General features: G+C 38.5%; 1 protein-coding gene, 1 long non-coding RNA gene and 1 pseudogene across 14 annotated transcripts in view; 1 reads left to right on the forward strand and 2 right to left on the reverse strand.

Annotated features, from left to right (window-relative positions):
- Positions 1 to 15,506, reverse strand: part of RGS5 (regulator of G protein signaling 5) — a 179,437-nt gene that overhangs the window by 94,199 nt on the left and 69,732 nt on the right. For 4 of the 9 annotated variants that reach the window (NM_001414472.1, NM_001414474.1, NM_001414475.1 and 1 more), the window contains one exon: positions 12,033 to 12,101. The exons of the other annotated variants lie outside the window; for them this stretch is intronic. In NM_001414472.1, coding sequence (NP_001401401.1) covers positions 12,033 to 12,097 — 65 coding nt within the window. In that variant the 5' untranslated portion in view covers positions 12,098 to 12,101. The remainder of the gene's footprint in view (positions 1 to 12,032; positions 12,102 to 15,506) is intronic. 9 annotated transcript variants of the gene reach the window in all.
- On the forward strand, positions 668 to 3,490 carry TRNT1P1 (TRNT1 pseudogene 1; annotated as a pseudogene).
- Positions 8,008 to 15,506, reverse strand: part of LOC127814295 (uncharacterized) — a 77,231-nt gene continuing 69,732 nt past the window's right edge. For 3 of the 5 annotated variants that reach the window (NR_182651.1, NR_182653.1, NR_182652.1), the window contains one exon: positions 8,008 to 12,209. This is a non-coding gene — a long non-coding RNA (uncharacterized LOC127814295). The remainder of the gene's footprint in view (positions 12,210 to 15,506) is intronic. The other 2 variants (NR_182654.1, NR_182650.1) reach the window with 1 other exon arrangement.

Genomic DNA, 15,506 nt, shown 5'->3' on the forward strand with positions numbered 1-15,506 from the left:
ATTCTGCATAACTACTGGCTTTGCCTAGTTCCAAACCTTCTGATGGCTTTCCCTCACAGTTAGAAAATTGTATAACCTATATGAATCTATATAGAAGATATAAATACCGCCTACAAACCAGCAATATAATAGGAAAAACCCTTGAGCAGACCCTCTACAAAGAATGATATAAAAATGGCCAATGGGCCAGGCGCAGTGGCTCATGCCTGTAATCCCAGCACTTTGGGAGGTCGAGAGGGTGGCTCACGAGGTCAAGAGATCGAGACCATCCTGGCCAACATGGTGAAAACCCATCTCTACTAAAAATACAAAAATTAGCTGGGCATGGTGGCACATGCCTGTAATCCCAGCTACTTGGGAGGCTGAGGCAGGGGAATCACTTGAACCCGGGAGGTGGAGGTGGCAGTGAGCTGAGATGGCACCACTGCACTTCAGCCTGGGCAGCAGAGTGAGACTGTGTCTCAAAAAAAAAAAAAGATGGCCAATGAACATAAGAAAAAGGGTTCAACATCATTAGGTGTCAAAAAAAGGCACATTGAAACCACAATGAGATGGTTCTATGCACTTACAAAAAAAGGTTAAAATTTAAAACAACTGATGACACTAAATGTTGGAGAGGATGTGGAAGAACCACAACTCTGGAACATTGTTGAAGGGAATGAAACATGGATGCGGCATCGGCGGGGTCCCTGTGAGGCTGCTGATGTACTCTCCAGATGCTGAGACCCATGTATCCTGGGCACAGGCCAGCATTGAGCTGTAGTTGGAGTAGGCTGCCTTCCGAAGCAACATCTATTTACAATGAAGTGGCAGTCTCCAGAATTCCAGTCACTTTTCTCAGAAGGATTGATGAGTTTGACAATTTACTTGTGAAAGAGAATCATGAATTAAGAACAGCAGAGGGGGCAGGTGTGGCGGCTCACCCTGTAATCCTGGCACTTTGGGAGGCTGACAAGATGGACAAATTGCTTGAGCTGAGGAGTTCAAGACCAGTCTGGGCAACATGGTGAGACTCCGTCTCTACAAAAAATCCAATAATTAACCAGGCACGGTGGCGTGCACCTGTAGTCCCAGCTACTTGGGAGGCTGAGGCAAGAGAATCACTTGAGCCCAGGAGGTGGAGGTTGCAGTGAGCTGAGATAGCACCACTGCCCTCCAGCCTGGGTGACAGAGACCCTGTCTCAAAGAAGAAGGAAAAAAAAAGAAAAAAGCAGGAGGGCAGGAACAGTGGGGGGTTTATTCAATGGAGTAAAGCCTGGAAACGTAGATTTTGCCAACACTGCCACTCCTACTCAGATGAAGACGATGTCTCAGTCAACCAGGATTTGGATGAGAAACAACAAAGGAGAAGAGCACAGAACAATTACTGGCAGGCTTCACAAAGAATATGTTAAGATTATTACACTACAGATTGATGTTGCCACTGACGGATGATATGCTGAAGTCGAATTCACAACTGACCGGCAGAAAGATGCTGAACACAGGGCTGTCCCTGTAAATTCTGTGTTTTTAGATTTTAATGATATCTTATTTGATGACTTTAATGGTTATGGTTTAAAAAATAAGAAAGTTAGATTTGTTGGGCATGCCAAACAGAAATAAAAGAGGATTATCTTATAATTTTAAGATATTTCAGGTTTTATAGGAGTACTAGCTTTTTAAAAATACTTGTTACAGATCACGACTGGCTGATAAAATACTCTTACTAATTAAATCTTATAATTATCTACATATATCCTTGCAAATAATAACAGGAACTGCAAATAACATTATTTGGAAAGGTCCAAACACCTTAAAGAATTCAGTGTCAAAATCATATTAATTGCCACAATCTGAACAGGATAAATTAGAACAAAATCCAAATGTTTTCTTTTAACTAAAAATGAAAATTGCTGCAATATTCAAGTTCAAATTTCCAAAATGCTCCAGGAGTTGCAGAAACTCTCAGTGTTGATTGCTAAATTAAAATAAGAAACTCATGAGCTTCCACTTAGCACAGTTTGAACTTTCCTCTTAATATTCTTCCCAACTTAGCTAGACCTTCCTCCACTTTTATGGGACAATTGTAGAGCAACCTGGTGACCATGGTCCTAAAGCTTTGTAAAAACTGCAGAAAATGCAAAACGCTTGGGTGGAATATCAGGAATGAGGATTTGGGTGGAACTGAAAAAATTTTTGTTGGTAACCATGTAAATCATTTGATTCCCCTTATCCATGATCTTGATGTGGCTCCTTACATAGGTTTATCTGCTAATTAAAGTTTAGAAGAGTTTAATAAGGTCAGTAAAAATGTTGAAGGTTTTTCACCAAAGTCAATGACTCTTTTTGCCTCATTATTCAAGTGATAGGATGATGTTGCAAAAGTGGATTTGAGGTCGAAGACTGCACAAAAAAAGAAAAGTCTTGGATTATTTATGTTTAAAAATAGGAAAGATTTAATTAAAGCAACAGATAGTTCAGAACCATTGAAACTCTATCAAGACTTCATTATAGGTTCCAGGGAACATGATGCAACTACTCATGTATGTGAGCTACTGCGGTACCAAGGAGAGCACTGTCTCTGAAAGGAAATGCAGCAACGGTGAATCCCATTTCCTGTAACTGTCATGGCATCAGGAAAGTGGGGATCTCTTCAGGGAAAGAAATTGGGGCTCTATTACAACAGCTGGGAGAACAGTGGGAAAAAAGTGGTTTCCGGCTGGGCACGGTGGCTCATGCCTGTAATCCTAGCACTTTGGGAGCCCAAGGTGGGTGGATCGCCTGAGCTCAGGAGTTCGAGACCAGCCTGGGCAACACAGTGAAACCCTATCCCTACTAAAATCCAAAAAAAAAAAAAACATTAGCCAGGCGTGGTGGCCTGTGCCTGTAGTCCTAGCTGCTCAGGAGGCTGAGGCAGGAGAATTTCTAGAACCTGGGAGGCGGAGGTTGCAGTGAGCCAAGATTGCACCACTGCACTCCAGCCTGGGTGACAGAGCAAGAATCCGTCTCTTAAAAAAAAAAAAAAAAGGGTTACCAAATGGAAAAAGATTCACTTCTAAATGGCATAAAGAAGACCTAAAACTGGTGTCCATTAAAAGGCAGAACATTTTAAATAAGGCTAGTTTTTTCTTCTCCCTGTTAGTGAGATTTTGGAAATCACAGCAGAATAAAAGCCAGCTTAAAGGACCTCTTAAAGATAAAGGTCTTATTTTGTGAATTATATTTCAGGAAGTAAACTGAAATTCACCTCCTCTTGATCTGATTTATATTGCTGAAACAGTTATTTTGAAATAGTTCCAACTGAGAAAAGCATAATTGGCTTCTACAATCTTAATCTATGTAGACGTTTTTTAAAATTTAGTTTTTGCATAACATGGCACTAAGATTGATCTGAAAAAAGTGTTAACTATCTGGAAGCAAAAACGTTTATTAATTTCAATTGAGATAACTGGATTACTTTGTACAATGACTGTCTATGATGTGTTCATTCTTATCTGAATTCCAAAATAAATAAATGAGTGCCTCAAAAGAACTTGAAAAAAGGTACAACTACTTTAGAAAACTGTTTAGCAGGGTTTTTTTTTTTCATTAAAAGGAAAAAATACACCTGCCCTATGCCTCAGCAATTCCACTCTAAGTATTTACCAAAAGAAATAAAAAGATATATCAACACAGTGAGTTATATAAAATAATATCTTTATTCATTATAGTCAGAAATTAGAATCCATTCAAATGAATTCCAACAGAAAAATAGACAAATAAGTACGGAATGGTCATACATTGGAATATTAACTAATCAGCAGTTAAAAAAAAGAATAGACTAATAGTGTATGCAAAAACATAAATAAGTCTCAAAAACACAGTAAACAAACAAAGCCTTACCAAAAGAATGTATACTCTATGGTTTCATTCATATGAAGTTCTAGAATGGGTGGAACTAATTCATGGTGGGGAAAAAAAAAAAAACTAGACCATATGCATCAGGAGGCAGGGTGGAGATTGACTGGAAGTGGAAATGAAGGAACTCTTAGGGATAATTGGAAAAAAAATTTTTTAAGAGAGAGATGGAGGGTTTCACTCTCTCACCCAGGCTGCAGAGTTGTGATCACAGCTCACTGCAGCCTCAAACTCTAGGGCTCAAGTGATCCTCCCACCTTAGTCTCTCAAGTAGCTGGGACCACAGGTGCATGCCACAGCACCTGGCTAATTTTTAAACGTTTTGTTGAGACAGAGTCTTGCTATGCTGCCCAGGCTGATCTTGAACTTCTGGACTCAAGTGATCCTCCAGCCTCTGCCTTTCAAAGTGCTGAGGTTACAGGTGTGAGCCACTGCACCAGGCCAAAATAGAAATACTCTGTATCTTGTTTGAGGTCATGGTTACCTGGGTGAATATACTTGTCAAAATGTATCTAAGGCGTGTGATGGCACACGCCTATAGCCCCAGGCACCATGACTTTGTTGGTTGTTCCTCAAACCCGCCAACTACTCTCACCCAGTCTTTGTACTTGTTCTCTTTGCCTGAAACACTCTTGCCAAGATCTCTTCATGGCTTGCTTCCTTGCTTCCTTTGGGTTTCTGCTAACTTGTCTTCAGGTAAGAGACCCCTGACCACTCTCTCTGAAATTCTGTTATCTGACCTATCCCCAAAGGCTAGATGTATTTACCCTACTTTACTTTTCTTCTATAATAACTGATATTGTATTATGTGTTCATTTGATTATTTATTTTCTTCTTGGATTAGAATGTAAGTTTAATAATGGCAGATTGTTGTTGTTGTTGTTCTTAACTGTATCCCCAGTTCTTAAAATGGTGCTTGGCACAGAGCAGGTCTGGTTAAATGAATGAATGAAGACCTCTGTGGCTTATTTGAAATATATTATCTTCTGGTCTGAACATAGCTGGGAGATTCTCTTCCATTGCTCTAAACTCTTGTTATGTATAGTTGCATTTTGTCTCTCTCTAGAAGGGCCTCCCCTACCTGAAGAAACTTGGAGTAAAATATTTTCTTGTGATAAAATTGTTTTTCCACCCCATGTTTCAGACTATGGTTATTCTGGTTTACGGTTTCCTTCCAGATAGGTATGGATCACACTTATGCAACCCACGGTCGTTTATTCTCACATTATCTGATTTCCAAACCAGCTTAATTCAGATCATTAAGTTGCTGATCCAATTCATTCTTTAAATTAAAATGACTGAAATGATCAGGCTGACCAGACTTTGGTATGGCCATTCCATTCTTAAATGTTTAGTTTAAGATAGAGAACAGTGACATACACAGATATTCGTGTATAAAAATAAGATAAAAATATTTAAAATAGAAAAAGACACAATATTTTCACTGGAGACGAAGTGTTGGCCAGTGGCTGTAAGTGATGGAGAGCTGTGGTTGACTTCCTGGGGATATAATCAGTCTTTGTTAGGAAAATGAATGGCTACATAAGTACAGTACTTGTATTAAGTATTCTATGCTCAAGATTGAACTAGATTAATTGTCCGTAGAGTATTAATCTCAAGCACCTCAGGCTACTTCTTCACATTTCACAGCTAGCACTGGAATAAAGGAAGTGAGACCTTGAATTAAACCTCTTCATTTTATAGAAAGATCTTTCTTGAAAATAATAACTTGTTTTTAAAATTTTTCATTCATGTCTTATAGATGAGATCTATAAAAGTTTTGACGTAAACATCTGAGTTAGTGGCTCCTTGAGGATAGAGAGATAATGGATCAAACATGGCATATTTTTTAAATATGTCAGAAAAATATTTACATTTTGGCCATTTCATAGCATAGGTACATTCTTTGCACTGGTGGAATGAAGTAGTTATAAAAATAAATAACATTGGTGAATATTTGCTTCAAGTTAACCAACATTTTCTGAGCATGTGTTAAGCATTATGCAAGAAACTGTAAATACCAAATAAACCAGGTGTTCTCATGCTTGAAAGGAGCACAGGTGGAAGAGAGTTGTGAGATAAGATAGAAGCATACACAAATGAGTATTATGCTCTAAGGCAAACTTTGAAACACACCATAATCAAATGTAATATTCAATGAGAAAATAAGGCAGATTCTGTTCTTAAGTGTTTTCATCTGGGGCTTAAAAGATGTTTAAGACTTAGGACAAGTATTGAATGTCAGGCAGAAGGGACAGCATAAAAAAGGTGCACAGTCAGGAAATTGTGTGTATATTGGTGGGAATGATGGTAGCCTACTATGAGAAGAGCTTAGAATTGGAGGGAAGATGTGATGAAATATAGGATCGGAAAGTTCAGCAGGGGAAATGTTGACAGAGGGCTGAGGAATTTAGGCTTCATTACATTTTCTATAGGGAACCTCTAACGTTTTCTGAGGGCAGTAGTGACATGATCAGATCTGTTTAAAATAAAGTTACTTCTGCAAAGCAGTATTCGTTAGACTGTGGGGAAGAGAGAATAAAAGGAGTTTCTATAACTGCAACTCACCGTGAGTGGTAATAGTTTTACTATGTGTTTGCAAACATTCTACACTCAGAAGTTCAAAGATACATTTGTATAGGTGTCTTTATACATAGAAGGAGGCATTTACTGCCCATCAATGATAGACTGGATAAAGAAAATGTGGTGCATATACACTATGGAATACTATGTAGCCATAAAAATGAATGAGTTCATGTCCTTTGCAGGGACATGGATGAAGCTGGAAACCATCATCCTCAGCAAACTAACACAGGAACAGAAAACCAAACACCGCATGTTCTCACTCATAAGTGGGAGATGAACAGTGAGAACACACGGACACAGGGAGGGGAACATCACACACTGGGACCCGTCAGGGGTTGGGAGTAAAGGGGAGGGAGAGCATTAGAACAAATACTTAATGCATGCAGGGCTTAAAACCTAGATGACAGGCCGGGCGCGGTGGCTCACATCTGTAATCCCAGCACTCTGGGAGGCCGAGCGGGGTGGATCACGAGATCAGGAGATCGAGACCATCCTGGCTAACACAGTGAAACCCTGTCTCTACTAAAAATACAAAAAATTAGCCGGGCTTGGTGGCGGGCGCCTGTAGTCCCAGCTACTCGGGAGGCTGAGGCAGGAGAATGGCGTGAACCCGGGAGGCGGAGCTTGCAGCCAGAGATGGCGCCACTGCACCCCAGCCTGGGCGACAGAGCAAGACTCCGTCTCAAAAAAAAAAAAAAAAAAAAAACCTAGATGACAGGTTGATAGGTGCAGCAAACCACCATGGCACAGGTTTACCTTTGTAACAAACCTGCACATTCAGCATATGTATCCCAGAAATTAAAGTAACATTAAAAAAAAAAAAGAAGGAGGAGGCATTTACACACATTCACACAACACACACACACACACATACACACATTGGTTTGGCAAAGACTCAGTGAATCTGAGAGATAGAATATTGTATTGGTTAAGGACATGGGCCTTAGAATCAAACAAAAGACTGGCTCCTTCACTGTGTAACTTTGCTTAAGATAATTAAACTCTAATATAAAATGGAGTTAAAATGTTTACTTTTAAGTTTTGTTAAACATTAAATGTAATAACCTATGAGAAGGATTTAGTATAGTTCTCACCTATTGTATGCACACAATAGCTGAGAGCTAACATTTCTACTATTGCCTTTTTCACTATTGTTGTCAATTTGAGATGTACTTCAAGTCAATGAGTAATTTGGTAATAGCATTAACTGGAAACAGCTTGAGGTCTACAGAGAGAAGAAGATAAAGCCTATCATCTCCAAAGCTATAATTTTGCCATTTTAACAAAAGAAGACCCAGAAACAGAACACAGAATCCTCTAAAGTCTGTTCCAAGTTGCTTTCCCAGAAATTACTTCAATGAGTAAACACTTTCCATCTCTCCTGAAGTTTCACTATATACTTATTAATGCATTATGCTACTCCTGCTCAGGAATGATCTCCAAAGCATTTAACCCAGCAAAGTTTATCAAACATATTGTTCCCAACTGCTTGAAGTTTATCTTACAATAGCTTCTATGACTCGTGAAGAAAACAAGCTACAAGGATTACAAGTGATTTTTTTATTTTTTATCTTGGCAGATGTTAAAAAACAACATTAGCAGAAACAATGACATTTGCAACAAATGAAAAATAAAGTAAATTAAGGGACTCGGAAAAGACAATGAGGGTAATTTGTTTGCAACTCTGGTTGTTGATTCACTGGGTGATTGGTGCCAAAAAGAGTAAACAACCAAATATAGTCACTGAAAACAGTAATACTCCATGAAAGAAGGAAGACTTGTTCTGTGATGAATCACAGAAGTCAGTGTTACACAGAATCATTCAGAAGGTTTAATTAACCAGAAAGCCATCATTATAGAAACTCATCTATAACAAGTCTAATGGTATGGACATTGAAGACAGCATTGTCCTGGGCTCCATTGTTGGGAAAGGCCTGGTTTCATCTAGAGTTCTACTTTTCAGATAACACCCACTTTTCATATGCCATAAGGGCTCATAGATCTTGGGTTCCCATTCTTCTCCCTGGCTTCCGTATTATCTAGATAGATAGGAGGTACTGGAAAGAGAAGGTCTGAGAAATAAAACCTTAGGTCACATTATTGAATATAGTCTGCTGAGTAAATTTCGTCAAACAACAATGAAAAAGATTTTTTCCCACTAAGAAATCCTGAAATACACCAGAATATTCATAGCTTTAAAATTCTTTCTTTTGTGTGTGTTGCAGGATGGGTAGTCTATCGTCTTGCTCTTTTCACTCACTTCTACTTTTCCAGCTTAATCCTCTCCTATATCCCTCATGTACTACACCATGAACTCTATTCAGCCACCTACCCATGGACATCTGAGCAAAGCTCACATACTTGTACAAGAACACTTGCCCAGAATTATCTTTTCCCCATGACAACTTGTTGAAAACATTTTCTTTTGAAGTTTCACAGAACTCCAAGAAACCTATCTATATTTTTTCTTTGTAAATATTGCTATAAGATTTTGCTTCTAAAACTTTAGCATTGACATCATTTTGCTTTCATAAATATCTGATTCTCCAAGCATATCATAAGATCTTAAAAATCAGGAACCAAGGTTTTTGTATCGCCTCATCATCTGAAATGCCTGGCATAGTGATTATTTTATCACAGTTGAGAATGCAAAAGCAAATCCTAGTTTTACCACTTAGTACCTGTGTAAATTTAGATGTATTATTTTACCTCTTTGAATTCCTGATTATGCATCTGTAAAATGGGTATAATAATACCATTTTCAAAGGTTTATGAGGATTACCTATGACAATATACAAAAAGCATCTAAAATGGCACTTGATCCATTGTGTGTGCTCAATATATAGTAGCTTAAAAATAAACTCGTTTCTGTAAAGTTGAGGTATAATAATCTTCTTCAGATACATCACTCAGATTATGCCTTCAAGTTGGCCATCAATTAAAAACAAGCAGCCATTTGTGAGAAAGAATACCAGTCCGGGGGCTGTGGCTCACGCCTGTAATCCCAGCATTTTGGGAGGCCAAGGCGGGCGGATCACGAGGTCAGGAGATCGAGACCATCCTGGCTAACACAGTGAAACCCCGTCTCTACTAAAAAAATACAAAAAATTAGCCAGGCGTGGTGGCGGGCACCTGCAGTCCCAGCTACTCGGGAGGCTGAGGCAGGAGAATGGCGTAAGTAAACCCAGGAGGCGGAGCTTGCAGTGAGCCAAGATCGCGCCACTGCACTCCAGCCTGGGCGACAGAGCGAGACTCCATCTTAAAAAAAAAAAAATTAATTAATTAAATAAATAAAAATAATAACAATAAAAAAGAATAGCCAAGCACAGGGCCAGGCGTGGTGCCTCACGCCTGTAATCCCAGCACTTTGGGAGGCTGAGGCGGGCGGATCACGAGGTCAGGAGTTTGAGATCAGCCTGGCCAATATGGTGAAACCCCATCTCTACTAAAAAATACAAAAAATTAGCTGGGCACAGTGGCGTGCACCTGTAGTCCCAGCTACTCAGGACTCTGAGGCAGGAGAATCGCTTGAACCCAGGAGGTGGAGGTTGCAGTGAGCCTAGATTGTGCCACTGCACTCCAGCCTGGGCGACACAGTGAAACTCTGTCTGAAAAACAAAAAACAAAACAAAAACAAAACAAAACAAAACAAAAAACAAAACAATACCCAAGCACTTTACTACAACTCTAATCATTGGGAAGAACAGTTCTTACAGTGATATATTGTTACAAAACCCACTTGTGTCTGCGAGCAATCTATGATGAGTCTAGATTTACCTGCTGATTCCTCTGGAATTTATTGGAATGATAAACTTTCCAAAAATTAAAAAGTCATTCCAATATCATAAAATAGTCATCTGCATGGAATCAATCTAGATTCTCATCAACAGTGGACCAGATAAAGAAATGTGGTACATATACACTATGGAGTACTATATAGCCATAAAAAGAATGAAATCATGTCGTTTGCAGCAACATGGATGCAGCTGGGGGCCATTACCCTAAGTCAATTAATGCAGGAACAGAAAGCCAAATACTGCATGTTCTCACTTATAAGCGAGAGCTAAACATTAAGTACACATGGACACAAAGAAGGGAATAATAGACACCAGGGCCTACTAGAGGGTGAAAGGTGGGAGAAGGGTGAAGATTGAAAGCCAACCTATTGGATTGTACTCTCATTACCTAGGTGACAAAATAATCTGTATACCAAACTCCAGCAACACACAATTTATCCACGTAACAAATCTGCACATGTTCCCCCTAAACCTAAAATAAAAGCTGGAAAGAAAATAATCACCTGAATAATTATAAGAAAATAACTGATAAGAAAATGTGAGTTTTGTTCTAGTCAAATGAATTGTTGAGCTTTCAAGGTTTTTCTCAGCACGGAGATATGGTGCCATTCTTAGGCTGTATGTTTCTAACCGTATTATCTGTGACAGGGGTAACCTGCTAATTTAGATCAATATAATATGTAATCAGCAACTATTAAGATTCACTATCAGGCAAACAAATCCAGCTAAATTGCATTTAACTCTACTAAAAACATTTTTAAATCACCTATATGTACCACTTTAGTTATGGAAATTACATTGCAATTGAACTGGATAGAAGTTGATTTATATATATATATATATATGTATACGTATGACATATATAGGATAGGTATAGGTTTTATATATAACCTTTTTGATATATAATTTATATTACATATAACTTTTTGATAGTGATATTCTGAACCTTTTCTTCTAGAAAAATGGGCACTTCCCCCTCAGTGATTTTGTTGTATCTTTTACAATGTTCTCTCATAGAGCCACCAATATTTTATTGCTCCTAAGGGATGAGAAAGGACTCATATTTATTCATATTTTTAATCCTACTCTTACAGCCTAGCATAACGTTGGCCCATGGCGGATGATCAATGAATGTTCTTTCAATCAATTAACACATTTTCTTAGTTTTTCCTACTCCAACTTGCTCTGTAACTTTGAGCATATAATCAATCTTTATGGGCCTTGACTCTGTTTCTCCCGTGGAAAAGAAACATTAGACACAAAGGGTATCTCATAAATATGTAGTTAGAACAGCTGGTGCTCAGCTTTCCAGATCCCACTCTCTTCTCACCCTTATTACCACCCTTAGTACAGAGAGTGACAGTGTTAGTAAGAGCAAAGATAAAACCACTTTCTTTATTAGATCTGGTAAAGCCAGCAGGCCCAGGAAACATGCAGAGTCAGATCTGCCTAGGTTTTAATAGGGTTAGAGAGCATAACTGGATCTCATCCTCTATTTTTTTAATGGACTGATTACCAGGCCCTGGGATCAAAGACTCCTGTTGTTTATCTTTGCTCTTTTACTTTAATAACTGCTGACACTCCATCAGGGTGTCATGGAGGCCCAGAAGGAGTTTTGATTGCCTTCAAGATGAGATGATATAAAACTCACCAGGCTCTGTACATATCCTCTTATAAGCCTAAGGGGTAGAAAATAGCATTACCCTTGTTTAAAATGAACTATCCTTAATCTTTATTTTACAGATCAGGAATCTAAGGCTCAGAGAGACTAACCTGTTTCCTTGTTCTGGGCACTGATCAGAGAAGAAGAGTTTGCTCAAAATATCAAGAATAACCATTTCCCTGGAAAAAAAAAACACAGCTCAGCGAATGTCAACCTTGTATTTCCATCCGCACTGGTGCTTCTTTTGGGTGCTAATAACTTGTCTTCTCCTTAGCACTCTAATAGGTCTAGAAAGATAAAAGGAAGAAAGAGTCAGCTTTATTGATGGCTGTTCAGTAAAACAAAATACAAAGCTTCTTGGTGAAGCTGGATTTGAGATTGTGATTGGAGTTGACCTATGACCATCTTTATACCTCACCCTAAATGTGGACATTGGCACCAATGGGTGGGAACATTTGAGCCCAATTTACTCACCCAAATGTCGAGGAGGAAGCTGAAGAATAGCCCACCTCAACCAAGTGGGAGAACAACTGCCCCTCTGCCTGCTTCATAATGGGAGGAAGAGGTGAAAAAGCCCTGTTCCTTCTTATAAAACCCAGGGCAGAAAACACAAAAAGCTACAAGAGAAATGTGCTCATATTGCCATTCAACTGAATAAACATTCTTTAAGTGAAGTTACCCTATAGGGCATGAGGTGCTCAAATTTCAAGTCATCTACCTCTGCTCCCTGAGCTGGAATAAATATAGGTGTAGATGGAGAAACTGGAAGTATTCACTTCAATATTATCTTCTCTATGAGGAGTACAATACATTTCCTTTATGGAAATGTAAGGAAGAAAGAATAAGTTCTTCCATATAGAAGCTTTTAGTTTAAGTCTCCATCATCTTCCCACCTGCACTATACCAATAGTCTCTTAATTAGTATGTTGGTTATCATTCTTTTCATTTATGTTTTTCACAACATGAAAGATGACCTGTCTTTTAGAAGATTAAACTGTGACTCCAACCTTTTGCCAAACCGTTAATATTTCTTTGAGAAAATCACCCACTCTTTCCATGCTGCTATTTCCTTTTTAATAAAATGAGGAAGGTCGGGCGCTGTGGCTCACGCCTATAATCCCAGCACTTTGGGAGGCCAAGGCGAGCGGATCACCTGAGGTCAGGAGTTGGAGACCAGCGTGGCCAGCATGGCGAAACCCTGTCTCTACTAAAAATACAAAAATTAGCCGGGCATTGTGGCAGGCGCCTGTAGTCCCAGCTACTTGGGAGGCTGAGGCAGGAGAATCGCTTGAAACCAGGAGGCAGAGGTTGCAGTGAGCTGAGATCACGCCACCGCACTCCAACCTGAGCAACAGAGCAAGACTCCATCTCAAAATAAATCAATAAAATAAAATAAAGTAAAATAAAATAAGATAAAATGGGGAAGATGGTAATTGCAATGCAAGCTTTTGGTGATAGATGAGTTCACATCATAAAGCACTAAAATTATTGCTAGTTATGATTCTCATCTATTTATCTTTCTCTGCCTTCTCTCAGCTGCCCTAGCTCAGTACGTGGTATTCCTGTTGTTAGGTACATCACTGCCACAGTTCTTAGACTAATATGGGCTTGAGGCTGGAAGTACTCAGCTAATTCATTTAACTTAATACCACCTAATGAATCTGGGCTGACTCAGGACACAAGGCCCCGAAGATGACCATTGGGTTCTCCAGTTGGGCCCTAAGCTTTTCTTAAAACATGGCCTAGGCTATGTTGGTACAGAGCTACTTACTGATTATCCAGAACTGAGCATTAGAGAGAGAGGAAGACTGGGGATACAAGTAGCAGATTTAATCTTTTGGAAGCAATCACTGCAATTATCATAAATGAGTGCAAAGAAAAAAAGAGCCAAAGACAAATATGTAAAGAACATCTGTATTTAGGGCAGTTGCCTTTAACCATCAATATATCTTGAACCCAATTATGAATATTGTCTCAAATGTTCCCACAGCAAAATTATGAGACGTGAAGGTGATGTGGTGATTATGGCATTATAATTGAGTCATTACAGCTTTGAGATTAAATGATTTGTCTGCAAACAGAACCCACATTCCCTAAACCTCTGCTAAAGAAAAGCTACTACAGTCAGGTATGGTGGGAATGGAGAAAGTCTTATATTGGCTGATGCAAATCTTGATGTGAACTTTCAAGATTTGGCCTTCAGAGAGGAAATGCCTTTTACTGCTTACCTCACTACTTTTTTAAGCTCTTGGCAGAAAGACCCCGAAAAAATAGAAAATATTATTAGTGTTAGAAAAGTGCCAGTTTCAGCTAAGCTCTGTTGAGTCAGTAATTCAACATAAGAGGATTGGTAGAGAGGGTAAGAATAAATAACTTCTAGGGTTGTCTGAGCAGTTGGAATTTATGATCTATAAAACTCCATCCATAAAAGGGAAAAAATTTGAACATATAAAAATTATAAGCAAGTTCTGCACAGAGCTCAGTTATTGGAAAAATAGTTTTTCCTAAATGTAGCATTTGGGTTTTGGAGGATTTTAGCAGACATACATGTTTCAAATTTTATGGAACCTTACTAAATGGAAAGCACTGTGCAAAGAACTGGATAATGTTCCTGACCTTATGAAGCTTAGAATCTGGAAGAGGGAAAATTCAACCCCGAAGGTTATCTAGTAATACATTTTATAATTTTTCTTTTTTCCTCAGGTTACATTTATGTAAGACAATGCAAACCTATACGAGATGAACTCGATCCTCTGTCATGCCTACTGAATGCCTTAGCTAATGTATTCCTTAAATTAACAATCTTTTTCTCTGTGAAGAATATTGGTTTCTCAGTGGAGTGGAAGTATATAAACAATCCCAAATCAAGACATAGATTTGCTCTGTCTTCAAGGAGTTTACAAACACATCAAAGAAGAGAAGATATATTTAGACCTTTTTAAAATTTTTTAAAGTAATAAAGCCACAGTGAAGAAAATGTAAAGAAAAGAGAAAAATCAACCCCAATCCCACCACTCTAACAGTCTCTGGCCATGTCTTTTAATAACTTATGCTGATCCCTCCTTTTCTTGTGGATTCTTAATGTATCAGAACCCAGGGTTTGGTCCTTGGACTTCTCATCTTTTCTATCGTTTCTATCTTCACTTATCCCAAAGTGATCTCATTCAATCTTATGGCTTTAAATGCTATCTGTATGCTGATGATTCCCAGATTTATAACTCCAACCTACATATTGTGCTACTCCTGTAGTTATACGGAGCTGTGTCCTTGGTCTTCAGCAACCACTATCCCTAGCTCTATAATTTTGTCGCTTTGAGAATGTTATATAAATGGAATCATACATACAATCATGTATAGTCTTTTGAGATTGACTTACTTTCACTCAGCATAATTCCTTTGAGATCCATCCATGTTGCTACATGTATCGATTGTTGACTCATTTTCTGTGCTATGTATATACCACCATTTATTTAAACATTCATTCATTGAAAGGCATTTGAGTTGTTTCCAATTCTTGGCTATTACAAATGAAGCTTCTATGAATATTCATATACATGTATTTTTGTGGATGTATGTTTTCATTT

The sequence above is a fragment of the Homo sapiens genome, chromosome 1, assembly GCF_000001405.40.
Source record: "Homo sapiens chromosome 1, GRCh38.p14 Primary Assembly".
In the NCBI taxonomy this organism is placed as follows: Eukaryota; Metazoa; Chordata; class Mammalia; order Primates; family Hominidae; genus Homo; species Homo sapiens.